General features: G+C 55.2%; 2 protein-coding genes and 1 long non-coding RNA gene across 10 annotated transcripts, besides 12 other annotated features; 1 reads left to right on the top strand and 2 right to left on the bottom strand.

Annotated features, from left to right (window-relative positions):
- On the bottom strand, positions 4–17866 carry ATN1 (atrophin 1). 7 transcript variants are annotated; one of them, NM_001424176.1, is made up of 10 exons: positions 17130–17866; positions 8297–8485; positions 8012–8149; positions 7747–7860; positions 4764–6778; positions 4258–4480; positions 3148–3844; positions 1302–1445; positions 771–951; positions 4–578 (listed from the first exon to the last, which is right to left on the bottom strand). In NM_001424176.1, the coding sequence occupies exons 2-10, from the start codon at positions 8321–8323 to the stop codon at positions 545–547; spliced, it is 3573 nt and encodes a 1190-aa protein (NP_001411105.1). In that variant the 5' UTR covers positions 8324–8485; positions 17130–17866; the 3' UTR covers positions 4–544. The 7 variants fall into 7 exon arrangements, with proteins under 7 accessions (NP_001411105.1, NP_001007027.1, NP_001411108.1 ...); NM_001007026.2 differs by having other exon boundaries at positions 17788–17866; NM_001424179.1 differs by having other exon boundaries at positions 4764–6775; positions 8297–8469; positions 17788–17866.
- Positions 4727–4796: a silencer, noted in NCBI's record as "silent region_4195". NCBI's record gives its function as "represses an Ori minimal core promoter by ATAC-STARR-seq in GM12878 lymphoblastoid cells {active_cell/tissue: GM12878}" and the evidence as "EXISTENCE:reporter gene assay evidence [ECO:0000049][PMID:35858748]".
- Positions 5550–5608: a tandem repeat, named in NCBI's record as "atrophin 1 repeat instability region".
- Positions 5552–5608: a repeat instability region, noted in NCBI's record as "repeat instability region; expansion of the (CAG)n trinucleotide repeat is associated with dentatorubral-pallidoluysian atrophy". NCBI's record gives the evidence for it as "EXISTENCE:polymerase chain reaction evidence [ECO:0000082][PMID:8136826, PMID:7951323]" and "EXISTENCE:Southern hybridization evidence [ECO:0000078][PMID:9050922]".
- Positions 14368–14527: a silencer, noted in NCBI's record as "silent region_4194". NCBI's record gives its function as "represses an Ori minimal core promoter by ATAC-STARR-seq in GM12878 lymphoblastoid cells {active_cell/tissue: GM12878}" and the evidence as "EXISTENCE:reporter gene assay evidence [ECO:0000049][PMID:35858748]".
- Positions 14629–19795, top strand: LOC124902868 (uncharacterized). 2 transcript variants are annotated; one of them, XR_007063194.1, is made up of 2 exons: positions 14629–14798; positions 16200–19795. It is a non-coding gene; the product is annotated as an uncharacterized LOC124902868 (long non-coding RNA). The 2 variants fall into 2 exon arrangements; XR_007063195.1 differs by having other exon boundaries at positions 14629–15292; positions 16200–18656.
- Positions 14708–14757: a silencer, noted in NCBI's record as "silent region_4193". NCBI's record gives its function as "represses an Ori minimal core promoter by ATAC-STARR-seq in GM12878 lymphoblastoid cells {active_cell/tissue: GM12878}" and the evidence as "EXISTENCE:reporter gene assay evidence [ECO:0000049][PMID:35858748]".
- Positions 15782–16481: an enhancer, noted in NCBI's record as "NANOG-H3K27ac-H3K4me1 hESC enhancer chr12:7035007-7035706 (GRCh37/hg19 assembly coordinates)". NCBI's record gives its function as "activates a minimal SCP1, AML or CMV promoter by ChIP-STARR-seq in naive H9 embryonic stem cells {active_cell/tissue: H9 hESC(naive)}" and the evidence as "EXISTENCE:reporter gene assay evidence [ECO:0000049][PMID:30033119]".
- Positions 17182–17882: an enhancer, noted in NCBI's record as "NANOG-H3K27ac-H3K4me1 hESC enhancer chr12:7033606-7034306 (GRCh37/hg19 assembly coordinates)". NCBI's record gives its function as "activates a minimal SCP1, AML or CMV promoter by ChIP-STARR-seq in primed H9 embryonic stem cells {active_cell/tissue: H9 hESC(primed)}" and the evidence as "EXISTENCE:reporter gene assay evidence [ECO:0000049][PMID:30033119]".
- Positions 18628–27745, bottom strand: ENO2 (enolase 2). The gene is made up of 12 exons (NM_001975.3): positions 27666–27745; positions 26408–26504; positions 25813–25908; positions 25596–25654; positions 25218–25287; positions 24611–24744; positions 24163–24385; positions 22562–22759; positions 20543–20744; positions 20161–20269; positions 19923–19981; positions 18628–19594 (listed from the first exon to the last, which is right to left on the bottom strand). The coding sequence occupies exons 2-12, from the start codon at positions 26490–26492 to the stop codon at positions 19525–19527; spliced, it is 1305 nt and encodes a 434-aa protein (NP_001966.1). The 5' UTR covers positions 26493–26504; positions 27666–27745; the 3' UTR covers positions 18628–19524.
- Positions 19904–19993: an enhancer, noted in NCBI's record as "active region_5891". NCBI's record gives its function as "activates an Ori minimal core promoter by ATAC-STARR-seq in GM12878 lymphoblastoid cells {active_cell/tissue: GM12878}" and the evidence as "EXISTENCE:reporter gene assay evidence [ECO:0000049][PMID:35858748]".
- Positions 26113–26752: an enhancer, noted in NCBI's record as "H3K4me1 hESC enhancer chr12:7024737-7025376 (GRCh37/hg19 assembly coordinates)". NCBI's record gives its function as "activates a minimal SCP1, AML or CMV promoter by ChIP-STARR-seq in naive H9 embryonic stem cells {active_cell/tissue: H9 hESC(naive)}" and the evidence as "EXISTENCE:reporter gene assay evidence [ECO:0000049][PMID:30033119]".
- Positions 26753–27394: an enhancer, noted in NCBI's record as "H3K4me1 hESC enhancer chr12:7024095-7024736 (GRCh37/hg19 assembly coordinates)". NCBI's record gives its function as "activates a minimal SCP1, AML or CMV promoter by ChIP-STARR-seq in primed H9 embryonic stem cells {active_cell/tissue: H9 hESC(primed)}" and the evidence as "EXISTENCE:reporter gene assay evidence [ECO:0000049][PMID:30033119]".
- Positions 27473–27962: a silencer, noted in NCBI's record as "silent region_4192". NCBI's record gives its function as "represses an Ori minimal core promoter by ATAC-STARR-seq in GM12878 lymphoblastoid cells {active_cell/tissue: GM12878}" and the evidence as "EXISTENCE:reporter gene assay evidence [ECO:0000049][PMID:35858748]".
- Positions 27751–27941: a silencer, noted in NCBI's record as "fragment chr12:7023548-7023738 (GRCh37/hg19 assembly coordinates)". NCBI's record gives its function as "represses an EF-1alpha promoter that drives an FKBP-Casp9 reporter gene in an ReSE screen in K562 erythroleukemia cells {active_cell/tissue: K562}" and the evidence as "EXISTENCE:reporter gene assay evidence [ECO:0000049][PMID:32094911]".

The following is a 27997-nucleotide window of genomic DNA, read 5'->3' as shown; positions in this document are numbered from 1 at the left end:
ATGTTCCTGGGGAGTTGTGAGGATGTTTTTGTTTGGTTGGTTTTGGTTGGGATGTTTTTTTAAGAGCGTCATATAGATATTTATATATATAAATTATTAGTGTGGGGAAGGGGCAAGGGGCATACATTGCAGAGGGGGCGCGCACACAGGGATCGGGGAGGGGCAGGGGTGGCACACGATGCTACGCAAAACAGCCACATCTAACAGATGAAATAATCACACCAACGGGGCAGGGGAGGGGCGGCGGCCACAGGGGTTGGGCATGGGGGAGGAGAAAAGCAGGGGGGACAAGGAAGAGAGACCTGGTCCAAGATTCTGTGCGCTTTCTGTCCCCATCCTCGCCACCTCCCCACCTCTGCACACCACATCGGGCCTTGGCCTTCTGTCTGTCCCTCCCTCCCCCACTCTCTGTCCAGCTGCGGAGGCCCTGCAACTGAGCAGCACCCTCTTGGCTCTGGGTGGCAGGCCAAGGGCACGGTGGGGGGAGGGTGGGGGTGCTCCAAGGTCCAATGTAGGAGCCATGGTGCTCTCTTGATCGCAGGTTCTACAGTGGCTTGTCGCTTTCCTTCTTCAGGTGACTAGGGAAGGGGCAGTGCATAGCAGAGAGGTAAGAGACTTGAGACCAACTCTGACCTTGCCCCCTCTTACCGAAGGGGTTGGGAGAGGAGGGGTTCCCTCCCCCAGGAGCACGGTGCCCAGCCGTACCATGCCCACAGCTCCTCCCAGGCTCGCTGAGCCCATGTCCCCTGGGCTGGGGCACCCTAGGGTACCTGTAGTAGTCCTCCTGGGCAGGCAGCGGCACACTGTGCAGCGGGTGATGGGCATGCAGCCACTGCTGCTGTTCCAGCGCCAAGCGCTGCAGCTCAGCTGACTGTGCGTGCATGGCCTGCAGCTGATGAGCTGCTGACATCGGGGCAGAAAGGGAGGCCGGCAGGTCCCGGTAAGGGGCAGCTGTGAGCAGGAAGGGCAAGGGGCATATGACCAACGGATAACAAGTACCTGCTCTGGACCAGGGGATAGCCAGCTCCTTTACATACAAAGGTAATGAACTAAAAAGTGAGGTAACACACCCAGTTCTGTAAGTTGCCAGTGGTAGGGTGGAATTGGGATTCGAACCTCTTAGGCTGACACTAAAACTCGTGCTTCTCTTGGGCAGAGCTCCAGCTCTCCTATTCCCATGCCCAGCTCCTCTAGGCACCTCCTCATCCCTCCCCAAGCCCAACTAGGCCCATCCCCCCACCCAAATACCTCCTTTCTGCCCTTTTCTCATTGGAGCTGCCTACCCCAACTTCCATCCTTACCAAAGAGCTGGTGACGAAGAACTTCGTTCTCGTGCAGAGGGTGAGGAAGCAGGGGGTTAGGGAGAGTTCCAGCTGGGTAGGGGATCCGGGTAAGGTGAGACCCTGAGGCCAGGGGGTCAATGAGAGGGTGCACCGAGGCAGAGGCTGGAGGGCAGAGAAGAGGAAGGTGTCACCAGAAGGCAGGTTTGGGGCAAACCATGCATTTGGGTGAAGGGATCCAAGCCTGGGAACTGAGTCAGACAAACACAAGGAGGTCCAAAGTGGAACAAAGGCAGAGTGGAAGAACTAGAGGCCTGGCAGGGGTGGACAGGCTGAGCCCTACTGGAGGAGGGACATATGGATGACACAGGACAGGAGATTACAGTCATCAGAAGGGTCTGAGGGGAAGGACAGAGAGAGGTAGACTGCGTGAAGAAGGTGGAAGATGATAGAAGTTTAGAAAATAAGACAAGAAGAGGCCGGGCACAGTGGCTCAAGCCTATAATCTCAGCACTTTGGGAGGCTGAGGCAGGCAGCTCACCTGAGGTGAGGAGTTCAAGACCAGCCTGGCCAAGATGGTGAAACCCTGTTTCTACAAAAAATACAAAAAAATTAGCCAGGCAGGGTGGCACACGCCTATAGTCCCAGCTCCTCGGGAGGCTGAGGCAGGAGAATCGCTTGAACCTGGGAGGTGGAAGCTGCAGTGAGCCGAGATCGCGCCACTGCACTCCAGTCTGGGCAAAAGAAAAAAAGGAAGCCGGGTGCGGTGGCTCACGCTTGTAATTCCAGCACTTTGGGAGGCCAAGGCGGGTGGATCACAAGGTCAAGAGATCAAGACTATCCTGGCCAACATGGTGAAACCCCGTGTCTACTAAAAATACAAAAATTAGCTGTACTTGGTGGCACACGCCTGCAGTCCCAGCTACTCGGGCAGGCAGTGCCTGCTGAGGCAGAAGAATCACTTGAACCCCAGAGGCGGAGGTTGCAGTAAGCCGAGATCGCGCCACTGCACTCCAGCTTGGTGACAGGGCGAGACTCCGTCTCAAAAACCAAAAAATGGTGAAAGGATAGTAAGTAAAGCTCATTATCGCCTATGACACCCAAACCCAAAGCTACAGGGCCCTTTCTAGAAAGTTACAGATCTAGAGATGGGGAAAAACATGAAAGACCTCGCAGAGGGAGAAGAGGAGAAAATGGCAAAAAATGAGTTGAATCCAGAGAAATCAGAAGATAGGTTTGTGGGTTGGGCACGGTGGCTCACGCCTGTAATCTCAGGACTTTGGGAGGCCGAGGTGGGTGGATCGCTTTGAGCTCAGGAATTTGAGACCAGCCATGGCCAACATGGCGAAACCCCGTCTCTACCAAAAATACAAAAAGTAGCCAGGTATGGTGACACACGCCTGTAATCCCAGCTACTCCAGAGGCTGAGGTAGGAGGATCACTTGAGACCGGGAAGTCGAGGCTGCAGTGAGCTGTGATTGCGCCACTACACTCCAGCCTGGGTGGCAGAGCCAGACCATGTCTCAAAAAAATAAATAAGAAGACAGGTTTGTGAAGGGCTTGGGAGAATGGGGCTGTGAGAATAGAAAAGTGTCCTTCAAAAGCTCCCGTGTGGGCCTCTGTCATGGGAAGGATACTAGACTATGGAGAGAACTGGGCTGTGGGGCATACAGGCTTTGTGGCCAGGGAAGGCCATGAGAAGACAAGGCTGAGAGAACGTCAGGGAGGCAAAGTTCAGGGCAGCAATCTCAGGAAAGGTTCATGCCAGGCCAGGGGAGGAAAGTCTTGGCCATAGGAATGAAAGAGCCCAGTCATGATAGGGGGAAGGTGGCCCCAAAGGGCCAGGGCAAGGAAGGAGGGGTCTCACCTGCATGGATAGCATCTTGCTGGTGCAGGTGCAGGTGCGAGTGGATGTGGGAGTGCTGGTGGTGATGGGGAGTCACATTGAGCATCTGCAGCCGGGCCAGTGGGTCATTGCCCAGGGCCGCCACCCTTTCTGCGTGCTGCCTCTCAGCTGCCAGCCGCTCAGCATAGGACATGTCAGGCCGCAGGGCTGGCCCAGCTGCCAGCGCTAGACGTTCTCGCTCCAGGGGCCCCAGGCTCGGATGAAAGGGGAAAGGGTGCAGGCCAGGTGGGCCAGGCTGCAGAGCCAGGCCCCCATGTCGGGGAAAGGGATCCAAGCCCGGCCCAGGGACCCCATGTAGGGGTTCCAGCTCACTAGGCTTCACCTCAAAGCCAGGCTTGAGGCGGTCACGGAGGTCTCGTTCACGGGCTTCCCGTTCCCTCTCCCGGGCAGCTGGATCACTGCTGTACAGGGCCGGGACATTGTAACCCAGGAGCCCCGGGTCCACTGCCCCCAGGGGCACGTAGAATGGATGGTTGCGATTGCCAGGAGACATGACATGAGGCCGGGCATATTCACTGAGAGTGCGCAAGGCTGGAGTGTCAGGACCCAGGTAGGGGGGCACTGTAGCCACCGCACTGCCCGGTTCAAATGGAGGGCGATGGGGCACTGGGCCCAGAGATGGGCATTCCACCGGAGCACGGCCCTCCTGAGCCAACTTCTGTGGGATACAGGGAAAAGTGGAGTCAAAGCGGCAGTTATGAAAAGAGGTGGCTGGTTTTAAGCTGCCCATTTGTTTCGACAGCCGAATGCCAAAATGCCTCAACTCATTGAAACTCTGCCCACCTGGAACTTAACTGCGGCCCCCGCTCCCGAATATTTGCCCTTCTTGGGATCCACAGGTAGTCCCATCTGAGCATGCCTTTTCCCAACCCAGGAATGCAGATGGCTCTCGCTGAAAACCTTTTGGGCTCCATTTCCTGGGCTGCAGTGGTACCTCCCCTCCGACAGGTGGCGACGTGACTCGCCCGCCCACCCAGCCACAGCCCCGCAGCGTAGCGTAGCGCAGCGCAGCGCAGAGGGAAGGAAGGAAAGAGGGAAAGAAGGCGGTGGCGCAGGCAGTGACGCACTCACCACGCTGCGTTCAAGCTCGCGCTCCTTCTCGCGCTCGCGCTCTTTCTCGCGTTCCCGCTCGCGCTCGCGCTCCTTTTCTTCGCGCGCGCGCTGCTCGGCCTCGCGCCGCACCTTCTCCACCAGGTCGGCCCGCTTCTTGGCCAGCTTGGAGCCCTCCAGTGGCACGAAGTACAGGTCGCTGCGCGCGCACGAGTTGAAGCCGCGATCCAGGTGTTTGTTGAACCTGCCGGGCGTGGAAGCAGCGGGCGCTCAGGCGGTGCGAGCTGCCCGATGGAGCCCGCAGCGCCGCGGCCCCGGCGAGTGCTTGTAGCCCCCGCCTCAAAACCACCCCTGCAGGCTGTGAGCTGCTGCGGGCCTCACTGGCCACTAGGCCTGGACGGAGGAGAGGGGCGTGCTTTTCTAAAACACTACACCAGCGCAAGGCCCCTCCCTGCTACTCCCTCTCTCGTCGCCGCCTTGTCGTCGTCCCCTTTCCAGGCCCACCTCCGCCCCACCTGGCCGCTCACCTGGCAGACTGACTGGCATGGCTGGGTACATCTACCACCTTGGGAGGGGGCGAGGGGCTGCGGGCTGGGGGCACCGGGCTCTCGGGGGTCTCATACTCCTCAGCCGGCTCCTGTTTGATCTGCGTGGCGCTCAGGGGCGGCCCTGAGGCAGGGGCCGCAGGTGGTGGTGGCAGCGATGGCAGGCCTGAGGGCCCCGCAGGTGGCAGGGGCCCAGGTCCCACGGTGGGCGAGCCCGGCTTGAAGGTCCCTGGGCCTGCAGGTGGCGAGGTTCCTCGATAGCCCGGTGGGGTCCCCGTTCGGAAGGAGGGAGGCGACCCGGGTTTGTATCCGGGTGGGGTGGCTGTCTTGTAGGCCCCCGGGGACGGGGCTCTCTTTCCGTACGGTGGGGGCCCAGGTGGGGAGGCCGTTTTGTAGCCTGCTGGCGAGGAAGCCACGGTGGCAATGACCGTGGAAAGGGTAGCCGAAGAGGTGGTGACCGTAGGCACCGGTGGGAAAGGGTAGGGCGCCCCTTGAGGGCCCTGGGAAGGGGAGGGGTGTGAACATGGGTAGGACCCTTGAGAAGTGGAAGAGGAAGAGTTGGAAGAGGAAGAGACTGGAGGGCCATTGGGGCCTGCTTGGCTGTAGGACACCTGGCTGTGAGGTGGGGGCAGGTGTGCTGGCCCTGGTGGGTAGGGCCTCAGAGACCCCAGGGAGGGAGACATGGCGTAAGGGTGTGCGTGGTGGGAGCTACCGCCCTCCAGTGGGTGGGGAAATGCTCCAGGAGGAGGGGGCCCAGAGTTTCCGTGATGCTGCTGCTGCTGCTGCTGCTGCTGCTGCTGCTGCTGCTGCTGCTGTTGCTGTTGCTGGTGGTGATGGTGATGTGTTGAGACTGGTGGGTGGGCGGTGGACTGGGCCCCAGTAGAGGGAGGGAAGGGGCCTGGATGGGCATTGCTGTTGGCTAAGAGGCGGCCATAGGGAGGAGGTGGTGGGGGACCCTGGCTCCACACAGCCTGGGATGGGAGAGAAGGCTGAGTATACTTGGGGGGCTGATTGGAGACAGAGAGGCTTGTTGGGGGAGGGAAAGAGTGGGGGTAGCTGGGCAATGCCTGGGAAGCTGGGAAGGGGGAGGCAGAGGAAGAGGAGGAAGAACTGGAAGAGGAGGCTGCTGCAGAGCTACTACTAGAGGATGAATAAGGAAACCTCATGGGGGGCGCTGGAGCAGAAGAGGAAGCAGGAGGCAGAGAGTGGGGTGAAGGAGCCAGAGTTGGGCCCTTCTCTGGGCCAGGAGGAAGTCCACCCATACCCTGTCCCATGGCGTGGGGAGAGGGCAGATGACCAGGTAGTGGTTGGGCCCCCAGGCCAGGGGGAGAGGCTGATGCATTGTTGAGGGGTCTCAGGGCAGGTGGGGGAGGCAGGTTCGGTGTCACATGGGGGAAGTTGGCTGGTGGTGGAGCAGAAGGTAGGTTCCCACCACCCACTGGAGTGGTAGGCGGCTTTGTTGGGGGAGCACCACTAGCCCCAGAGCTTGATACTGAAATGGGAGTAGTGGGTGGGGGGTGCTGCTTACCCCCATTAGGGCCCCCCACTGATGAGGCAGCCCCTCCCCCCTTGGGACCCATTGGGGGTCCAGACAAAACTCCACCAGTGCCCCCAGGATAGAGCTGTGGGTGAGGGGGAGGGGCCCCAGGAGGAGCCTGGAACATTCGAGATGTGGGGGGCTCCATGGGAGCATGATATCCAGTGGGTGTCACAGAAGGATGGGGTTCAAAGCTAGCCTCTGGCTGTCGAGGGGTGCTGTCTGGCGGTTGAGGGGAAGGAGGAAAGAGTGGAGGTGGGTGGTAGGGGCGGGCTGGGCCCTGGGACAGGCCAGAAGATGAGTCAGAGTCATTCTCCACACTTCCAGGGCTGTAGATACTGGGGGACGTGCTTCGGTTGTCCTGGTCGATATCCCTAGGGTCGCTGCTGCCATCATCATTAAGGCTCCGCCCGTCCAAGCTATCCAGATCGGAGGGAGACTGTGGCCGAGGGAGTTCCTGCTGTAGAAAAGGGAAGACTCATTTTTTCTCTTTTCCTTTCCTGCTTCCCTGAGATTTGGGGCTCTCTTGCATAAAATCATTTCCCCTCACAGCACACTGTTGTACTGTGATGTGGTGAGTACTCTTGCTCAAGCCCACCTCTTACCATCTGGGGATTTCTCACTTTCCTCACATTCTTGGCTGCTCCCTAGCAGCCAGTCTTGTTTCCCGCCTGTAAAACCCTATTCCTTCCTCAAGGATCCATCTCAAGCACCTTGTCTCTACCCACAGCTGACTCCAACTCCCTGTCTTCCACCATCTCATAACCACCACTTTAACCATCCTCCATCCCCCAAGCCCTTGGTTTTTATACCACTTCTGGCCGGGCACAGAGGCTTACACCTGTAATCCCAGCACTTTGGGAAGCTGAAGCGGGCGGATCACTTGATGCCAGGAGTTCCAAACCAGCCTGGCCAACATGGTGAAACACTGTCTCTACCAAAAATACAAAAATTAGCCGGGCATGGTGGCTCATGCCTATAATCCCAGCCACTCGGGAGGCTGAGGCACAATTGTTTGAACCCAGGAGGCGGAGGTTGCAATGAGCTGAGATTGTGCCACTGTACTCCAGCCTGGGTGACAGAGCGAAACTGTCTCAAAAACAAACAAACAAAAAAAAACAATAAAAAAGAAAGACCACTTCTGCATTTTCCTTAAGATTTATTTGTTCCTCCGACTAAGACTTCTCACCCAGAGACTAGAATCCCCCAACTCTTCTGGTCCCCTTTGGCCCTGCCTGGTCATCTGGTGGTCTGTCAAAGCTCTAAGAATCTCTCTGGCATATTATAGACAGAACTGCTCTCATAAGCACTATGATCTGGCCTTTCTCTTATGTCCCAGGAGAGATCCAGCTAAGAATAGTGAGCATAAGCAAGTCTGAGAAAAGAATGGTCACAAGATGGGTCAGGATGGCGACAAGGGTTTCCCACCTCAGTTTTGGTCTTTTTTGGTGCATTGGTCTCCTCACTTTCACTCTCTGAGATCTCCTCACTCCGACCCTGCTTGTTGACCTTTGGGGTGGAGGCTTCCTCTACTCGGGCCTTCTGTTAGAGAGAAAGAGAAAATTCCTGTCTTTTCCCTACCTCCCGAGCTCCACCGTTACCCTCTGCCAAACAGGAAGTTCCCCCACAACACACACACACCCTCAGCCCCAGTGCCTTGGGCATCCTGTGGGAGGACCTGAGGACAGAATACCTTGGCTGTCTGCCTGGACTTCTCAGCTTTGCCATCACTGCTGGACGTGCTGACCCCTCCAGGGGAGGCCCGGCCCCTCGATCTCAGTTCTTCCCGGGGCCCAGGGGCCTCTTTCTTCCGTCCACTCCTCATTGACATCTACAGGAGGAGGAAGGAGGTAGGTAACACTGTTCTTTACATTGCACCTAACTTTATGGTGCACATTATTTGTTCTTCTTCTCTAGACCCTTCCTCCTAGCTTGCCTGCCCCGCCCCTCATCTTTCATGTCTCTCATTTTAACTCACCGAGTCTTTATTCTGTCGTGTCTTCATTCTTCAGGCTGTGGAGACCCCATTCTCCTCTGCCTGGGCAGCTGAATACAGAAACTTCTCTGCTCCACCCCAAGTTCCCCACAGCTGTGGTCTGGGAAGCAGGATCTCCAAGTTTCCAGTGTGGGCACCTGGAACTTTTGCAGGATCTGTTTTCAATGAAACCTGTTAGAAGGAAACCATCAGAGTCTCCAACTTGGAGAACAGAGTCACAAAGGAATACTATTCTGCTTGTCAGAGAACTGAGCAAGCGGCCCAACCCTAAGCCTTTGGGCCAAGAGGTACAGATACCACAAGACATTGCTGGCATGCCCCATGGGCTACCTTAGCTATCTAAAAGGGAGGCAGATTCTGCTCGAAGTATAATCTCTTTCATCTCTGTAGAGGGCAGAAAATTCGGATGTACCTACAAGCCCCAATCCAGGAGATCACACAGTTTACCCTTCATGATCCCTAAAGGATATTTGTGAACACACACATTCCACGGAGCCTTACAAAGGAACATAAAGAAATGGAGCGGGGCATGGTGGCTCATGTCTATAATTCCAGCACTTTGGGAGGCCTAGGTGGATGGACCACAAGGTCAGGAGTTCAAGACCAGCCTAGCCAACATGGTGAAACCCAGCCAGGCGTGGTGGCACGTGCCTGTAATCCCAGCTACTCAGGAGGCTGAGGCAAGCAAATCACTTGAACCTGGGAGGCAGAGGTTGCAGTGAGCCGAGATCATGCCACTGCACTCCAGCCTGGGTGACAGAGTAAGACTCTGTCTCAAAAAAAAAAAAAGAAAAAAGAAATGACATTGAAGTATGAATTTATTGAATACCTTCTTTATATCAAGCCCTTCACATACATGATTTCATTTAATATTTACAACCAACCCTGAATGGTAAGCATTATTACCCTCATTATATAGGTGAGGGAACTGAGGCTCAAAGATTGTGATTGTGACTAGCCCAACCTCACACAGTGAGGAACCAGTGACAGAGCCAGAATCAAACCCATGTCGGTGACTTCAAAGCCCATGCTCTTTCTTCTATACTTTGCTGTATTCTCCTCAGAAGTTGCTGGGGAGAATTCTCAGAAGGCCTAGATCAGTCACAGAGATATGAAAAGAATCTTTTCTCACATCAGAGTAGGTAGAAGAAGAATGTCCCATTCTATAATACAAAGGAACACAGCCCTACCAATCCCAAGACTAAACCTAGGTAGCCCCAAATTGTAGAACTTCATTTTTGAGAGCCCCATAAAGGACCCATTCTCTAGTACTTGAGCTCCCTAAGGCTAGAGGAAAAGTCAGGGTTTTCACATGAATGATTAAAGACTCAAAATATCCGTGAGCAAACAACACAGATGTACCAGTTTTTAAGCCTATCCTCCTACTTGGTGTAGACTGGGTTACACAGTTTCTCACAGCCAATCCATCCGTATCTGTCTATCAGCAGGTATCTATCTTTATCCAAATCCCTATAGCCAGCTGTATTCATTTGCACTTGTTTGTATTTCTTGCTAAGTGTCAAGTCCCTCCAAATTACTGATTGTAAGATCTTTTGAGAGCAAAAATGGTATTTTCTTACTGTTTTCTTCCTTTCCACTGATGTGTGTGCGCTCTTCTTGTGATTGACCTTTAAACCCACTAACATCAGTAGGTCTTTCTTCCTGAATTAAGTGCTGCTAGCTCCAGTGGGAACAGACTAAGCTTACCCATGTATTCTATTCTGAGTTGGAGGCCTGCTAGGTAAACGGCATGTCCATATTCTGTAGTGTATTTTTTCCCAAGAAACACAGTAATTCTCACTCACCTCCACGGAACCATACTGATGCAGGCAGTAAGGGGTGAGTCTAACCTTTCCAGGAAACTTCACAATTTACTTAGAATCACAAAATTGCTGGGACAGAGCCTATCTTCTGAACTTTCAACTGATGCTCTGCCCAGTAGACTTGTCTTTTTTTTTTTTTTTTTTTTTTTTTTTGAGACAGAGTTTCACTCTTGTTGCCCAGGCTGGAGTGCAGTGGCGTGATCTCACTCACTGCAACCTCTGCCTCCCAGGTTCAAGCGATTCTCCTGCCTCAGCCTCCTGAATAGCTGGGATTACAGGCATGCACCACCACACCCGGCTAATTTTTTGTATTTTTAGTAGAGACAGGGTTTCACCATGTTAGTCAGGGTGGTCTCGAACTACTGACCTCAGGTGATCTGCCTGCCTCGGCCTTCCCAAGTGCTGGGATTACAGGCGTGAGCCACTGTGCCCGGCCAACTAGTTTTCTTTTTTTTTCCTTTTTTTTTTTTTTGAGATGGATCTTTGCTCTTGTTCCCCAGGCTGGAGGTGCTATGGCATGATCTCAGCTCACTGCCACCTCCGCCTCCCAGGTTCAAGCGATTCTCCTGCCTCAGCCTCCCAAGTAGCTGGGATTACAAGCGCACACCACCACACCTGGCTAATTTTTGTATTTTTAGTAGAGACGGAGTTTCACCATGTTGACCAGGCTGGTCTCGAACTCCTGACCTCAGATGATCCACCTGCCTCAGCCTCCTAAAGTGTTGGGATTACAGGCGTGAGCCACCATGCCCGGCCTTTTTTTTTTTTTTTTTTTTTTCAACTACAGCTATTTTCCCACATTTTTTAGTTGTTATGTAGACTGGTTTTAAAATACTATCAACCAAAAAAAAAAAAAAATCCGAAGAACAACACCCACCATAGCAAAAGAGGAAAACAATCTTAAACAAAAAGCACAACAAAGATGACTATTTGTGATTGGTGTATTTTTGCCAGCCCTCCTAGAGAAGGGTGTCCATCTCCCTTCCCCATCACAGAACCTGTTCACCAAGTCAGTTAGGTTAGGGGATCCAAAAGGTCAGAGAAACACAGGAATGTACCTGAGGAACACAGCAATCATAGTATGCCCTTCTTTTTTAATCACCTGAAATCTGATAAAAACTAGCAATGAGAAGCTTTGAAGGAGAAAAGCAGTCATAAAAGAACAAGTAATCCTGGGGATAAGGAGTGGCAGACGAGGAAAGGAGTTAGGGGTGGATTGTGTGTCTTTCTAGACCTGGGTCATGTTTTAGCACCAGCCTACACTCCTAGCAGGCAATCACTGTAACTAATATTACAGAGCACCTACTCTGTATCTGGCCACATACTAAGCACATTCACCTTCATTACCTTGCTTTATTTTATTTATTTATTTATTTATTTATTTATTGAGACGGAGTCTCACTCTGTCACCCAGGCTGGAGTGCCGTGCCGCGATCTCGGCTCGGCTCACTGCAAGCTCCACCTCCCGGGTTCACGCCATTCTCCTGCCTCAGCCTCCTGAGTAGCTGGGACTACAGGCGCCCGCCACCACGCCCGGCTAATTTTTTTGTATTTTTACTAGAGACGGGGTTTCACCGTGTTAGCCAGGATGGTCTCAATCGCCTGACCTCGTGATCCGCCCGCCTCAGCCTCCCAAAGTGCTGGGATTACAGGCGTGAGCCACTGCGCACTGCCATTACCTTACTTTAAAAAGAAAATGATTAAGACCAGACTGGGTTGGGAGGAAAGTGAGAACTAGAAAAAGAGCCCCTAAGTAAGAACAGGAAAAGAAATTAAGAGAGAAATATGGGATGTCAGAAGGAATACAGTGGAGTCACAAGCTCTCTGGGAGGGGCTCGCAGGCTAAATTTCAGGATCATTGGCCCAGCCCCCAACATCATTCTGGACCTGCCAGACTAACAAACCAGTCCAAAGTGACTCCTAGATAACAATGCAGCCCAGACCAGCAGATAACGATGCACTGGCCTAAGCCTTCTGAGAATCCGGGACCTTCAGAGAGGCCTCAGAGATCATCTCATCTATAGCCCCTTCATCTTAACAATGAAGCCCAGGCTCAAAGAGAAGTGACTTGCCCAAGGTCACAGAGGCACAGCCAGGTCTAGACACAGGTCTCCTGGCTCCTGTTCTATAGTATTTCCCCTGCATGAAGCTGTTTCACAGCCCTCTGTCCTGGGCCACCCTCACCTGGGATGGGCCTGGGAGCCCAGCCATTTCTACAAGGTCAGGGAAGAAGGCCAAAGGTTAGTTGAGGGAAAGAGGAAAAGGGTTACTCAAGAAGGGAGGCTCAAAGAGGAATTCAAGTTTTAGAAAATGAAAGAAAGTGCAAAGAAGCAAAAAGACAACTCTACAAAAAATAACATAATAAGGGAGGTAGAGGTCAGAACCAACTGCCAAAAGATGGTGTAACCTGAACAGAAGCGTTTTCATCCTCCCATCATGCCCAGGTGGAGAGACTTGGAGAAACACCTATGATCTGCAAGGAACGTATCTACCTGTTCCAACAGACTTCAACATGAAAGGGTGCACACCGTGGGGAAACTCCCAACCACCAACAGATCCAGAAACAACCTCCAAAACCCAGCCCAGAGTCCCAAGGACAGCCACAGGCTGAGGTCCAATAAACATTCGAAGCCCCCCCAACCAATCTGACATCCCACTGGATCACTACCATAGCAACACAGTGGCAAAAGGTGCCCCTCAAGAGACCATCCCAGGTGTCCATCTGGCAGCTACCCCCTACCCCAGTTGCCAAAGCAACTCCTACCCTCCTATAGCACCTCAGGTAAGGGAGCTTGAAGGTACCTACCCTAGTCAAAATAAGCCCATGCACAAAGGGAGATCTTTGAGCTCAAAGCAGTAACTAAGGCCTCCCTATATAGATCACAGCTCCAGGGGCAGCGGACGCTCCGGAAATTGGAGGGTGGAGGGTGGAGGTCGCAACTTGCCTGGAGTGCCTGTAAGGTTGCTCAATTCTCCATTTCCATCCTCCCAGAACCCCTTTCTTCCCAACTCCCCCTTCTGTGTTCCTGTTTTCCTCCTCACTAGTTTTGGGATAACCCACACTACTGGGCCCCAGTGCCCTCTCCAAGAAATAACTATGTCTGGGATAGGGAAAACAGGGTCAGAGGTGACCTGCAGTAGGGGAATGAAAACCGTCACAAAGACATGGCCTTCCCTCTTCCACGCTGGAAAACCTCCGGCTCTTCTCAAAAATGGACCTCTCTTTGCCCAAGCCTCCGTCTCCCCCAGGTTCATCAGCCACAATCCCTCTTTCCACCTACCACACCCCTTTCCCGTTTCCCACTTCCCGTCTATTCCTAAAGCCCCCAACCCCAGGCTCCGGAACCCGTGTTCTGGTCCTTTGGAGCTTTTTCCTGGAGGCTTCATGCCCCACCTCGCTGCCATCTCTCCTATCCATTCTGCCTTCGCCCGGAACCCCACTCACAGCATCCCCCGTTTTCCTCCGCCAACCCCGGCCTCGATGTTCCTCCTCTTTTGAGTCTGCGGGTCCCGGATACCCTCTGGCCCCACAGGCCTCCTCCGGAGACCCTCCCTCCTTCCCCACCTTCCCGATCCTCCCGAAACCCTGGCCCCCGACTCTCCTCGGCGGGCCCCACCCCCTGAGCCCCCGGCCCTCAGGCCAGGCAGAGCCCGCAGTGGGGGGACGGGATTGGGAAAATAACAAATGGAGGCGGCGGCGGCAGGAGGGGGAACTGGGAGGGGTGGGGGTGGGGAGCCGCAGGCCGGAGCCCGGGCGGGACAGAACCCCGCGGGCCCGGGGCCCAGGCGGCCGCAGACCTTACCTGCTGGTAGCTCGGGACGGCTGGCTGGCTCCGAGCGGGATTCCGGGCTCCGGCGCCTCTGGGGGGCGGCGGCGGCAGCTCCCCCGCCCCCCTCTCCTCTTCTCGGCCTCAGTCGCCGCCGCGACGACGGCGGCGGCGGCCCCGACCCCCCCGGAGGGCGGCCCCCATCCCCCCTTTTCCCCGCCTGGCCCCAATCGCCCGCCGGCCCCCGGAGCAAACCCCGATCCCCGCTCTGCTCCCCACCTCCCCGGGCTCGCCGCCTCCCCCTGGCCGCCCGGAATGCCCCGGGCCGCGCCGCCCGCCCCCGCCGCGCCGCCCGGCCCCGCGGCCCGCCCGGCCCTCGGCGCGGTTCCGACCCGCCGCCGCCCGCGCCCGCCTAGCGCAGCCCGCACCCGCGCGATCCCGGGCCCCTCGGCCGCCTCGCCCGCGGCCCCCGCCCCTTCCCCGGCAGTCGGCTCCCTCTCCCCCCTCCTAGCCCCTCCCCGAAGCCGCGGTCCCTCCGAAATGGCCCGGCCCGAGGCCCCGACCCGGCGCGGGGCTGCGGACGGGCTGGGCGGTGCGTCCGGCGACTCGCACAGGAAAGCGGACGGCGAAGGGAGGGAGCCTGGGAGAGGGGGATGGGAGAAGGGAGGAAGAGGGAGAAGGAGGGAGCGCGGAGGAACGGAGGAGAGAGGGGCCAGGAGGGAGACGCGAGGGAGGGAGCGCGAGGCAAGCCGCGAGGGGGGAGAGAGGGGGAGCCGGAGAGGGGGAGGCGCAGCGCGAGTTGGCCGAGGCCGAGGCCGAGGGGGCCGGGGCGCGGGGAGGGCTAGCCGTGGCGGAATGTGGGGAGCCCGCGGGCCCGGCGCGGGAGAGGGCTAGGTAGGAGGGGCTGTGGGTGGTGAGGGCAGATGAGGGGAGGCTGAAGTTTGGGGGCGAGCGGGTCTGTGGCAGAGGTGAAGTGGGAGGAGTTTGGGGGATCCTGGGGTAGAGATTGGGATAATGGGATTGGATTGGAAAGATGGAGCTGCCTGGGGGCTTTGTGGGTGCCTGGTGAGAAGTGAGAGAAGCTTGGGGTGAGGGATCTGTGGCAGAGATGGAGCCAGACGGGTTTGGGGGCTATTATCAGAGAGAATGGGATGGAAGTTTGGGGTCATAAGGAGAGAGAAAAATTGAAAAGATGACATATATAGAAAGATGGGGCTTCTGGAAAAAGTAAAGCTTTTGGGGGTGATTAGTGTTGACAAAAGAGTCATAAATATAAGAATTGGGGGTGGGGGGATGAAGGAATGCTGGAGAGAGAGAAGTCCAGAGGAAACGTCAGTGAGGAGAGAGAGGAGGGAACGCGTGAGGAACCTTAAGAAGGGATGAACGAGGTGGGCCCAGGTGCCAATTCTAGGGAAAATAGGTTCTGGGTGAGAAAGGAGGGCTCTGGATGGGAAAGAAGGGTGGGAGACACCGGGCTGGCTGGATCCTGGGGGTGGGGGCTCCCAGTAGAGCCGAGGAGGGTTTACTTGGGCGGGCAGAATGGGGAAGAGGGGGATAAGAAGATTGGAAGGAAATGTAAGCTGAACAAGGCCTATGGCTGGCGGCAGTATGGAAGAGGAAAGATCATGGATGGGAAAAGAAAATGGAGATGGGGCCGGTGCGGGGGCTCACGCCTGTAATCTCAGCACTTTCGGAGGCTGAGTCGGGTGGGTCACTTGTCAGGAGTTCAAGACCAGCCTGGCCAACATGGCGAAACCCCGTCTCTACTAAAAATACAAAAATTAGCCGGGTGTGGTGGCGCATGCCTGTAATCCCAGCTACTCAGAGGCTGAGGCAGGAGAATCCTTGAACCTGGGAGGCAAAGGTTTCAGCAAGCAGAGATCGCGCCACTGCACTCCAGCCTGGGAGACAGAGCGAGACGCCGTCTCAAAAAAAAAAAGAAAAAATGGAGATGGGAAACGAGGGCAGTTAAAGGAAATGACAGATGTGGGAGCGGGGGGAGGTTGCTGGCAAGCTCATGGGTAGATAGGTAAGGGATACAGCTTGGAGGAGTGAGACACCATCCTCAGGCCTTCCATCTAGTGGCATCTCCATTTTCCTTCTCAAATCTGTTGAAAGTCATCACTAAAGATCCCCTGGGTCACAGGGAAGCAGTCGGGTGAAGACTGGGCTTAATGTGGACCCAAATCCCTGGGTATCCTTGTTGCTCAATCCCACTTGTTCTAAGGTGGAGACAGTCCCCACCACAGACTGCAGGCTCCTCCCAACCCTTCCTCTCCCTCCCCTGCTCTCCAGGTAGCCTCTGGCAGTCAGTCTGCTCCCGGCCGTGAAGCCAGCACCTCCGCCAGCCCACCACCAGTTCCTTCTCCTGGGCTCCCTCCTGGCCCTCCACCAAGCGGCAACATCTCCCAGGACAAAGGACACAGGGTGATTTTTGGCAGCAGAAATTGGGAAGGCCAGAGAATGGGAGGGAGGCAGGCTGGCAAGCCGGAAGAGCTGGAGCTGGAGTGTGGATTAGGAGCCCTCAGTAGAGCTCCAGATTTGGGGTGGGGGTCGGGTACTTGTGGGGCCAGTCTTGCTGGAGGCTAAGGGTGGGCCCTGAATTGGCAAGATCCCACCTGCCTTCAGGGAAGGAAGGAGGTTAGCTCTGGAGCAGCTCAGTAGATTTTTGTCTCACAATTCCTTGGGCCAGATTCAACAAAGTTCTGGGAATACTCAAAAGCTCTAAACAAGATTCCAGAGCACTGGGGAACTGGGCGCAGGAACAGGAACACTTCCTTGGCCTGGGAATGAGTCATCACTCTGAAGTCCCTTGAATTGGTTGGCACTCACTTTACCACTCCAAGCACACCTTCCTCCCAGGGCCTCCCTGAGACCAGGCCAGCTCCCTGTCTCCCTGTGCACCCCGACTCCCTTCCTCTTGCTCTAGGGTAGCTGCTGCTCCTCCCCACCCCTGACTTTGTTCCAGGGCTCCCCCTTTCCCTCTCACCCTCTCTCCCCATGGCATTTCCTCTCTTTCTGTACCACTCAGTTCAGTCTCCCACTGGGCCTTGGCTCAAGCCCTTTCCAAATCCCTTCCAGGCTGAGCTCTTCTCCCTTGTTTTTTAATCACTAAGGAATGGGCTACAATGGATACTAAAAGAAAAATTTAGGCATATGTGGGGATAGGGGATGGTGAGAGTCACAAAAGAAACCATTGTCTACCCTCTCCCATTCCTCCCCTACCTGAGGGCCAGGCTTATAGTCCAGCTGCAGGGGACATCTCTCTCTCTCTCTCTCACACACACACACACACACACACACGCACACGCACACACACAGCCCCAGCCATCCCTCACCCCAGCTCCCTCTCTGGCTCAGCCCCCCACAACCCATTGGTCTCCAGGCAACGGCACAAAGGGAAAGTGGAGAGAAGGGCCTGGGAGGCCCAGGCAGAGCTAGCTGTAACCCAATCCAACCCCGATACTTTGGGGGTTGGGGGGCCAGACTGTCAGAGAAGGCGACCTGGTGAGGAGGGATGAAAGAAAGGACAGAGGCTAGGAACTAGGCTCAAACTAGGATAGTCCTGGTCAGTCTGGGAGTTACTAAGGTAAGATGGGTATCAGGGACCCCAGAGAAAACTGAGAGGCACAGAGGAAAGTACAGGAAACCCCAAGGGAGGCATAAAGGGTCGCCAGGAGAAAAGGGAAAGATGAGATGCCCACACTGAAACTAAAAGGCACAGAAATGGAAAGGGGGCATGAGGCTCTTTGAACTGAAAATGGCTGAGGTGTCAGGGACCCGGGAAGGAGGGCAAGAAAAGAAATGGGCCCTACCCATACAGAACTAGAACCTATTTTAGCCTTGGAGCTGGGCAGGATGGCAGAGGGAGCCAGGACCAGACCTTCGCAGAAGCAGAGCGGGAGGCCCGCAGGGGACAGCCTTGAAGTTCCTCCCACTTGGCGTCCAGTATGGCGTCCTGCAAAACTCTGACTCCCTCTAGTGGTTAGATCTCCCATGTGCAAACCCTATCTGTGGGACGCAACCTTGCATCCGAGCCACTAGGAAGGGATTTGTCCCCCTCGGGGGTACCTAGAATGAGCATCTCAACGCTGAGGCCCCATAAGAGTTAACGAGTTATAGCTAAGGAGTAGTACGTCTCTAGCCACATATTGGAAACCTACTGTTAGTCTGACCCAGCCAGGGTTCTGTTAAGCACTTTTGTTCCTGAATCTTCAGTTTATTGAGGACTCTGTTTCCTTAGGTCCTTCCGTATACTACCCCCGGAACCATTCTTCCTTCCCATTTCCCCATCTTGCAGTGGGTGATGGCCATGAAGTCCTGTTCCATTCGAGAACCAGCCAGGGTTTTGTTGGCAGAGGCCCAGTACAGGAGCTGCTCCAGTCCACAAGCCCTTTGGATATGAAAACACCTTAGACCCCCTTTCCCCCAAAATGCGCGTGCACACACACACACACACAAAATATTTTATGCTTTTAGGGGCTCTTGAACCCCTTAATTCACCTGCGTCTGGGAGCCAAGCCTTCTGCTAAGAAAGCAGGGGCCACATGCACCCCACCTAGCCAGAATGGGGTAGGCAGTGCCATCATCTCGGCCATATTTGTTCAGTTTGTCTTCCTCTTTTTGTGCCCCCCCAGCTCTGCTATCCAGTTTCACCAGCTTCCAGGTGCTCCATCTTCTCTCCCCTCATAGGGACTAGAGTAAGACTCCTTAGACACAACAGTGCACTGATTCAGACTTTAATGGAGGTGCTCATTTCAATGCCACAGAGGTGGTGGCAACTGTGGAACGTGGCATGGGGAGTGAGAGGTTGCTCTGGTGCAGCTGGAGGAAGAACAGGGAACCTAGGGTTGGGGAGAGATGTATAGAGGAAAACTCCCCCAGGCACACAGCCTCCGCTCTGGACCAACGCAGGCTTCAGTGAGTACACACAAAGGAACTGATGTCAAGGCCCTTTCTATGACCCTTCCCATTCTAGCAAGACCTCCCACCCCAGTCATCTTGGGATCTACAGCCACATGAAATACAGACACATCGTTCCCCCAAGTCAGGCCAGTTTTAGGCCATTGAGTTATGGGGAAATGATTAATGGGATGAATGAAAAACAAATAAAATAAATAAATAAATAAATACACTAAAGCCTTATTAGCCAGGCGTGATCACATGCCCAACACTCCCCTCCATCCCAGCACTATGCACAGTTCACGGCTCATATGCAAAGTGGAAGACACGTGGGACAAGAGCAAAGCACAAGTGACACATGGTCCCTCTCTAACACCTCAGCACACCAACCCTGACGCTCCCATCACAGATGCTGATCATTCTTCCACGGACCCCCTTTTATAATAATCCTCATTCACATTTCTAGTTTCTGAGGGAAGAGAGAAAGAGAAAGGAAGAAGTGGAAAGTGCGGAACCCCAATGAGTAGGGCACAGAAAGGAGGGCGAGCAGAGACAGCAAGAGGTCAGGTAAGCCAAGGAGCAGCGGAGCAGGTCAATCAGGGAAGTTCTGGGCACCCTGGGGCTCAGGGGATCTCAGGGGGTGAACTATCACAGATCAGGACAGCAAGGTTCCAGGAGGATGAGACAGAGGTTCCACGTCTCCAGGCAAGCAGAGGAATCACAGCACACTGGGATTACGGAAGTTATGTCCGGCAAAGCGAGCTTCATCCCCCAGCTCTTCCTCAATTCTGAGAGAGATGAACCACAAAGGAAGTGGTCAGGGATGCAGGAGGATCCTGCTTCTCTCTCTAGGGGTCCCCCAGACTCCAACCACCCCCACACCACCTGCTTTTGTGTCCTGCCCCAAGGCTTAGCATTCCCTGGCTTTCCCATGTGATCTCTGGGATTTGTCAATCAGGCCATCAATAAACCCAGGAAGCAAAAACCAATATTATCTGTTGGACTGTTATCCAGGAAATGGACTGTTATCCAGGCCCTTGGTGCTACAGATGGTCTGGCAGGCAAATGGGGCCTTTAGCCATCTGGGCCAGGGGCTCCCACCCCAGGGACCCTCACCTCATGAGCTGGTTGTATTTAGCCAGACGTTCAGAACGGCACGGGGCACCAGTCTTGATCTGAAACATTTCAAAGGATTTGCAGCTCAGTGACTGCCCTCTCACCCCTGAAAGGAAACTTCTGCTCTCCTGAAACTCCCCTGACACCCTCAAACACCTGGAAGGAGAGACCAGGTGGGTGAGCTAGAAATACCAATCCCACAGAGAGTTCTCTTCACTCACCAGGCTGCCTCACTCACCTGGCCTGTGCACAGCCCCACCACCAGGTCAGCAATGAATGTGTCCTCAGTCTCTCCTGAGCGATGACTCACCATGACCCCCCAGCCATTCTCCTGGGCCAGCTTGCACCTGTATCCACACACAGCACTGATTCTCCAGCTCTCACACTGGGCACTCTCTTCCCAGCCCCAACCTTGGTCTATGTCAGGAAACATCTAGGGGAAAGCTATCTGGGAGGGGAGCAGAGAATCAGGGGTGGAGGGGCAGAGGTGAGAGAACTGTGAGGATGATTCCAGGTTCCCCGCTCTCTTTGGCACCCCTGGGTAGAATTAGGCTGGAGCACTTGCAAAAGGAGTCTTATAGAAACGAGGACCACACAGGAGAGGGCCAGAAGTCACTCACGCTTGGATGGCTTCAGTGACCGAGCCGATCTGGTTGACCTTGAGCAGCAGACAGTTGCAGGCCTTTTCTTCCACTGCCCGCTCAATACGTTTTGGGTTGGTCACTGTCAGGTCATCACCCACAATCTGGATCCCTACATTGGCTGTGAACTTGGACCAGGCAGCCCAATCATCCTGGTCAAATGGGTCCTCAATGGAGACCACTGCAGAGAGAGCATGGTGGGGAGGGGGGAGGTGTTCATCTTCCCTGGGTCTCTACATCAGGCAGGAACATGCCCCTTTATTCCCTGAAATGGACAGGCCCTTGGTTAACTACACCTGCTCATCCTTGCTAAGACAAATCCCCCCAGTGTAAGCCTGCCCTAACTGATTCTTAACTTTTTTTTTTTTTTTGACAGAGCCTCATTCTGTCATCCAGGCTGGAGTGCAGTGGCACAATCTCAGCTCACTGCAACCTCCACCTCCCCAATCAAGTGATCCTGCCACCTCAGCCTCCTGAGTAGCAGGGACTTTAGGTGTGTGGCACCACACTCAGCTAATTTTTAAAATTTTTGTAGAGATGAGGTCTCACTGTATTGCCAGGCCAGTCTCGAACTCCTGGATTCAAGCAGTCCTCCTGCCTCGGCTTCCCAAAGTAATGGGATTACAGGCATGAGCCACCACGCCTGGCTCCTGATTCTTATTTCATAAAACCTTACATGGAGAGGCCAGGCACAGTGGCTCATGCCTGTAATCCCAGCACTTTGGGATACTGAGGTGAACGGATCACTTGAGGATAGGAGTTCCCTGGCTAACATAGTAAAACCCCATCTCTACTAAAAATACAAAAATTAGCCAGGCATGGTGGTGCACGCCTGTAATCCCAGCTACTTGGGAGGCTAAGAGAATCGTGCAGTGAGCAGAGATCTCACGCCACTTCCATAGGCTGGGCACAGTGGCTCATGCCTGTAATCCCAGCACTTTGGGAGGCCGAGGCATGCAGATCACTTGAGCCCAGTAGTTTGAGACCAGCCATGAGCAACATGGCTAAACCCTGTCTCTACAAAAAAAAAAAAAAAAAAAAAAAGTTAATTAAAAGCAAACCAGCCAGGCGTGGTGGCTCACGCCTGTAATCCCAGCACTTTGGGAGACCAAGGTGGATAGATTACCTGAGGTCAGGAGTTGGAGACCAGCCTGACCAACATGGAGAAACCCCTGTCTCTACTAAAAATACAAAATTAGCCAGGCATGGTGGCACATGCCTGTAATCCCAGCTATTCGGGAGGCTGAGGCAGAAGAATCGCTTGAATCCGGGAGGTGGAGGTTGTGGTGAGCCGAGATGGCGCCATTGCACTCCAGCCTGGGCAAGAAGAGTCAAACTCTGTCTCAAAAAAAAAAAACAAAACAAAAAAAACAACCCCACCCCCCCCCCAAAAAAAATCTTCCAGTAACAAGGGTTCACAACCTAGCTTTGCATTTTCCTGTTCTCACTGCCAGCAAGCCCTTCCTCATTGCTAATCCAAATCCTTAATTCTGCAATTATGTTGATTTTCTTTCGCTCTGTGTCAGGAAGATGGCGACCAACTGCCTCCATCCTGAGATAAAGGCCCTGGGCAGACTTGCAGAAGCTAATTCAGTCCCCCTCAGCCTTCTTTCTACTCACACATCAGTCCCAGCTCCATTCAGCATCCACAATTTCATCAATCAAAGATACTGAAATGTTCTAGTTCTCTGCTAGATCCAGTCACACTCATATCATCCCTGGTTCCTTCCAGAGCCTTCCCCATGACCCCAGTAGTTTTCAGAACCCATGACTTTAATCAGGATCTGAGACAGAACAGATTGGTCACGGGTACCTGCATTTTTACACTACATACAAAGCCCAGTCTTTGCAGGTGGCTCCTGCACCCTCTCCCTGGTTCTCAGGTTCTTCTTAGGACACCCCCACCTGGTGCCTGAGTCAGCACCCCATAAGGTCCAGAGTTGCTGGGACACGTCCCTGCCTGCCCCCAGACCTCCCCCTCACACCACTTCCTCTCACCAGGATAGTCCCTGACAAAGTCCTGGTAGAGTGCCCCCAGCTGGTCCCCAGTGATGTATCGGGAAGGATCAGTGGGAGACTTGAAGTCCAAGTCATATTTGCCATCACGATAAAACTCTGAGGCAGCAACATCCATGCCAATAACGATCTTTTCCGTGTAGCCAGCCTTGTCGATGGCTTCCTTCACCAGCTCCAAGGCTGGGGACAGAATACAGTGAGATTATAGTACAAGCAGGAGGGATGGGCAAGGAGGAGGAGGGAAAGAAAAGACATTCAGGGCAGAGGTGGAGGGCTGTTCCTGAGGGAAGTGTGGCGGGGATGCTGTTGGGGTTATCCCCAGGTCTGGGAGGAGAGGCCATCTTCTAGGAACACAGAGGAATGGAATTCTCTTAATAATACTTACTATACTTTCATTGGTATCATGTCATCTAAGCATTTTATATATATTTCATTTAAGCCTCACACTACCATGAGCTAGATTCTGTTATTATTTCCAGAGAGAAGTAAGAAAGTTCACCAGCAGTAACTCCACAAGTCAAGGTTCAAATAAATCCAGGTTATTTGGCCCCAGAACCTTAACTCTTAACCACTACCTATATTCTTTCCATTCCCTATACAGTTTCCCCCAAGGCACAGAAAAATTAGGGATTCTAGAGGCCTAGGAGGTTGGGACGGGGACAGGACAGATTTCGAATGGATGGGATGAATCCAACAGTCATCCAGACCATCTCCCAGTATTCCCAAGGGCTCCAGTGACAACTTTTTTTTTTTTTTTTTTTTTTGAGACGGAGTCTCGCTCTGTTGCCCAGGCTGGAGTGCAGTGGCATGATCTCGGCTCACCACAACCTCCGCCTCCCGGGTACAAGCGATCCTCCTGCCTCAGCCCCGCTAGTATCTGTGATTACAGGCACACGCCACCATGCCCGGCTAATTTTTGTATTTTTAGTAGAGACGGGGTTTCACCTTGTTGGCCAGGCTGGTCTCAAACTCCTGACCTCAGGTGATCCACCCGCCTCAGCCTCCCAAAGTGCTGGGATTACAGGTGTGAGCCACCGCGCCCGGCCTTCCAGTGGCAACTTAACAGATGCTAACACATCTGGCTAGGCAGGTAAAAGACTGTCCCCTGGCCAGGCGTGGTGGCTCACGCTTGTAATCCCAGCACTTTGGGAGGCCGAGGCGGGCCGATCACAAGGTCAGGAGTTCGAGACCACAGTGAAACCCTGTCTCTACTAAAAAATACAAAAAATTAGCCGGGCGTGGTGGCGGGCGCCTGTAGTCCCAGCTACTCGGGAGGCTGAGGCAGGAGAATGGCGTGAACCCGGGAGGCGGAGCTTGCAGTGAGCTGAGATCGAGCCACTGCACTCCAGCCTGGGTGACAGAGCAAGACTCCGTCTCAAAAAAAAAAAAAAATACTGTCCCCCTAGGTCTGCATGTGAATTTGGCAGGCTCTCTGCAATCCACTCTAAGAACTGGTACCTTTTGGAGTTTGCAGAGTCCTAGGACCCTCCACGCCTACTCAGGACTTGGTGAACTGTGTCACCCTTTCTGATGTCCCACAATAGGGTAAGACTTAGAGCTGGGAGTGGGGCTCCTGGCCTCACCTTCACTGTTCTCCAGGATATTGGGGGCAAAGCCACCTTCATCCCCCACATTGGTGGCATCCTTGCCGTATTTGTCCTTGATGACTCCCTTGAGTGTATGGTAGACCTCTGCACCTAGTCGCATGGCATCCCGAAAGCTCTCAGCTCCCACTGGGAGGATCATGAACTCCTGCATGGCCAGCTTGTTGCCAGCATGAGAGCCACCATTGATCACGTTGAAGGCCTGGGGAGCCACAGAAAGACAGAAGGGTCAAAGAGCCCCTCCCTGCCCGCCCCAGGAGTGTTAACCCAAGATCCCAAACTTCCCCCAGCTTTCCGGACTAAGTCTCACGTCCCCATCCTTCCTCTTTACCTCCCTCAATTCACTTTCCTCCCATCATTCCTCATGAGTTGCATGCTCCCTCCCCCACCCGCCCCTGGGAGAGCCGCAGGCTGGCTTATTGCTCACCGGCACAGGCAGGATGAGGTCTGAGTTCCCGGCCAGCTGAGCAATGTGGCGATACAGGGGCAGTTCCCGCTCAGCTGCCCCTGCCTTACACACGGCCAGAGACACACCCAGGATGGCATTGGCCCCAAACTTGGCTAGGAGATTATAGAGGAAGGTGCTGAGCACAATGTCCCCTTCTCCTTTCTAGCTCCTGCCTCCATCTGTAGTCTCCAAAAGGAGCCAGTAAAGGAGACCCCCTCCTCCCTCCCCACCCCTGCCCCAGCAACACCTCATCCATGCTCTCTTGAAAACAGCAGGGAGAGGAATGGGTGGGGAGGAGGAGATTGGAAACGGCAGAGAGCCACACCTCTTTCTAAATATCCCTGAGACCACAGACTCTCTCAGGCCATCCCCCTCCTCTGTATGCTGCAAAGAAGGTCTTCCTTCTGCCTACTGTCGGTCCTTCCCTCTGCAGCTAAACTCATCTCCCCTTGCTCTGGCTTTGAGAGGAGAATGCCCCTGACAGTCATTCCTGAGGAAGCCACTACAGCACTGGCCCTTCAGCTCTCTATCTGCTCCACGCCTCCCCACCCTGACGCTTCCCCACTTTCTCCCGGCCCCGGCTCACATTTGTTCTCAGTCCCATCCAACTCCAGCATCAGGTTGTCCAGTTTCTCTTGCTCCACCACAGAGAGACCCTGAGGGCAGAGCCTCCATCACCCAGGGCCAGGCTGGAGGCTGAGCCCTAAGGCAGAGGGTCCCCTCATTCACACCCAAGCTCACATTTGGCCAGGGTCCAACCAGGTCCCTGTGACAGGGGCCTACCTGGATTAGGGGACCTGAACTCCCATGGGAGCAGGGTGCATTAAGGAAGCTGTTCCCCACCCTTCCCCCTTGTAACCATGATTCCTAAGAGTGGGCCTTCTTTCTTCCCTTCCTCCTGCCCTGCTCCGGGATTCCTTCCAGAACTCTGGCCCTGCTATCCCCAGCAAAGAGCAGGCCTCACTGAGCTGATGAGGGCTGGCGCGATGGTGGAGTTGATGTGGTCCACTGCCTTCAGGACACCTGGGGAAAGGAAGAGGCTGGACTGGGTCGGGCCAGGAGGGGCCGGAAGGGATCAATGGGAGGAGGGGAAGCCATGCTAGAGGAGGACTGGGGACTGGTGTGAGGTAGGGGCATAAGGCTGAGGTGGGGGAGAGTCTGGAAAAGAGAAGGGACCTCACCTTTGCCTAAGTAACGCTGTTTGTCTCCATCCCTCAGCTCCAGGGCCTCATAGATGCCCGTAGAGGCTCCACTGGGCACTGCAGCCCGGAAAAGACCTAAAGGAGGAACATGGAATGAGAGGGAGTGAAGAGGACACAGGGGCCAGGGAGTCCTTCAGCCTTCTGGCTCTAAACTGCCTGCCTACCACATCTAGCTCTCTCCCCACACTGCTCCCTAACATCCCCCCACCCCCACCCCACACACACACTGAGGCAGATGCACAAGAAGTGGCCTCCTCATCCACCCATCTGAGGCCCCACATGCACAAGTGGGAGCCCGCAGAAAGAAAATTGCTTGCAGCACACGTCTGCACACATGCAAGTGCACAGGCAGACACACGGAGGCAGGACATGCCTCACACGCTAAACTCGAACACAGACCCACCTACCCTGGCTCCCCGGACAAGGAGGATCCAACCGCCACAACCCAGGCTTGTGAGCCTGGCCCAGCACCCCATACCCCTGGGTATCAAAAAAGGCCTCCGAACCCCTGGCCGAACCCAGCCTGGCCGTGGAAAAGCTAGGGCTGTAGGAAGGCCCATGCCACACCCATTACCTTTGGCAGTATAGAGATCCACCTCCACTGTGGGGTTCCCGCGGGAGTCCAGGATCTCCCGGGCCCAGATCTTCTCTATGGACATGATGGCTGGGATCTCCTCGGGTGGAAGGGAAGGAAGGAGAAAGATAAGAGGCTTAGAGGGGTGGAGCCTGAGATCAATGGGCGGGGCGGGAGGCTGGGAGGGATGGGAAAGAGGTTACTGCAGTGGGTGGGGGGTGGGTAGGGAGGCGCTGGCTGCAGTCTAGGGCTGTAGAAGGGATTCCCCCTCCCCCCTGGGAAGAGGAGAAGGTCAATGCAGTGAGGAAGGGGAGGTCACTGCAGTGGGGGGCGGGGTAAGATCAAATGATGAGATGGGAGAACACTGCAGTGAGGAGGGGAGGGGCACGACAGTGGTTCCCGCGCCTCTTTGCAGCTTGGCCAGCCGGTGGGGTTCCCCCAGATCTCCTCAGAGCGGAATGGCTGCCAGGCTTGCATTTCTCCTGGGAGCCAAGAAGAGGATGGGCTGCCTGGGCCTCTCTTCCAGAGCCCCCATACCTCCCCAACTTAACACCCCAGCTGCCTGAACACTGCCCCTTCCCCAAGGTCCCACTCTCTCCCAAACGTGTATCCCTCCTCTTCCCGCGAAAGGCGCATGCAATACAGGTGTCGGGGAAGAGGGTCCTGAGAAAGGCCCTGCAGTCCCTGGGGGTTGCAGCGGGAAGTGAAGAGGATAAGAGCCGGTGGGGAGTGGAGGCGAGCTGGGCCTGTCCTCCCCTCTGCGCCTCGACAGATCCCCACTTCTTCCATCTCTCCCCCGTGCAGCAGAGGGGAGGAAGCGCGAACGGAGAGGGGCGCCGTGGGGAAGAGCAGGAGAGAGGGGAGTCCAAGGGAAGTCTGGGGGAGGTGAGGAACGGTGAGAGAAGACATTTCCCCAAATGCAAACCAAAAGGGACGCTCTAGGATAAAAATGCACCGCCCGGAGAGGCTCCCAACTTAGAAACAAATAGAACCGTAGATGAGGGCGAGCACCGGGAGAGAGGCAGGCAAGGGTGGAGAGGCGCAGTTAGAGATAGGCGCGCAGAGGGCCAGAAAGCGAAGGCAGCGGGCGGGGAAGGCCAGGGAGGGAAGGCGCCCTGGGCGCGGGCGGCGGAGCAGGTGCGCAGCTGCACCGGGCCAGAGATGCGGAGAGGTGCGCAGCGGCACCGGGTAAAGGAGGCAGGGGCGCCGCGGCGAAGGGAGGGGGCCACAGGGGCTCTGGGCCTGGCGGGGGCTTCACCTCGGGACTGCAGACTCAGACGGTGGTAGTGGCGGTGGCGGTGGCGGTGGCGACGGCGGCGCTGAGAGAGCGGGAGTGGCAGTGGCGGCGGCGGCTGCGGCTCCCGGGCGGCGGGCGGAGGAGGCGCCTATAGGGCCGCGCGGGCGCATGTGACCCGGAGCCCCCGATGAGTCAGGAGCTGCCGGCGGAGGCGCACGTACGAGCGCGGGTGGGGGACCGACGAGGGTGGAGTGGGGAAGGGAGGAGGATGGGGGAAGGGTGGGGGCACCCACGACCTGGCCCCAGCGCACACAAGCGCTCATACCCACGGCCCGACCCACTCGACAGTAACA

This window comes from Homo sapiens, chromosome 12, assembly GCF_000001405.40.
Source record: "Homo sapiens chromosome 12, GRCh38.p14 Primary Assembly".
NCBI classification, from domain to species: domain Eukaryota; kingdom Metazoa; phylum Chordata; class Mammalia; order Primates; family Hominidae; genus Homo; species Homo sapiens.
Note: the sequence above shows the minus strand (reverse complement) of the source record. Positions and strands in the feature narration are given on the sequence as shown.

Excerpts from the sequence above, each read along its gene's own strand:
- ATN1 (NM_001424176.1), bottom strand. The coding sequence starts at position 8,323 with ATGAAGACACGACAGAATAAAGACTCG. Across the intron at positions 8,150-8,296 it reads CACGACAGAATAAAGACTCG|ATGTCAATGAGGAGTGGACG; the intron begins GTGAGTTAAAAT and ends CTCCTCCTGTAG. Across the intron at positions 4,481-4,763 it reads CATGCCAGTCAGTCTGCCAG|GTTCAACAAACACCTGGATC; the intron begins GTGAGCGGCCAG and ends CACGCCCGGCAG.
- ENO2 (NM_001975.3), bottom strand. The coding sequence starts at position 26,492 with ATGTCCATAGAGAAGATCTGGGCCCGGGAGATCCTGGACTCCCGCGGG. Across the intron at positions 25,655-25,812 it reads ACAGCGTTACTTAGGCAAAG|GTGTCCTGAAGGCAGTGGAC; the intron begins GTGAGGTCCCTT and ends TCCTTTCCCCAG. Across the intron at positions 20,270-20,542 it reads GTCACTGAAGCCATCCAAGC|GTGCAAGCTGGCCCAGGAGA; the intron begins GTGAGTGACTTC and ends GTGTGGATACAG.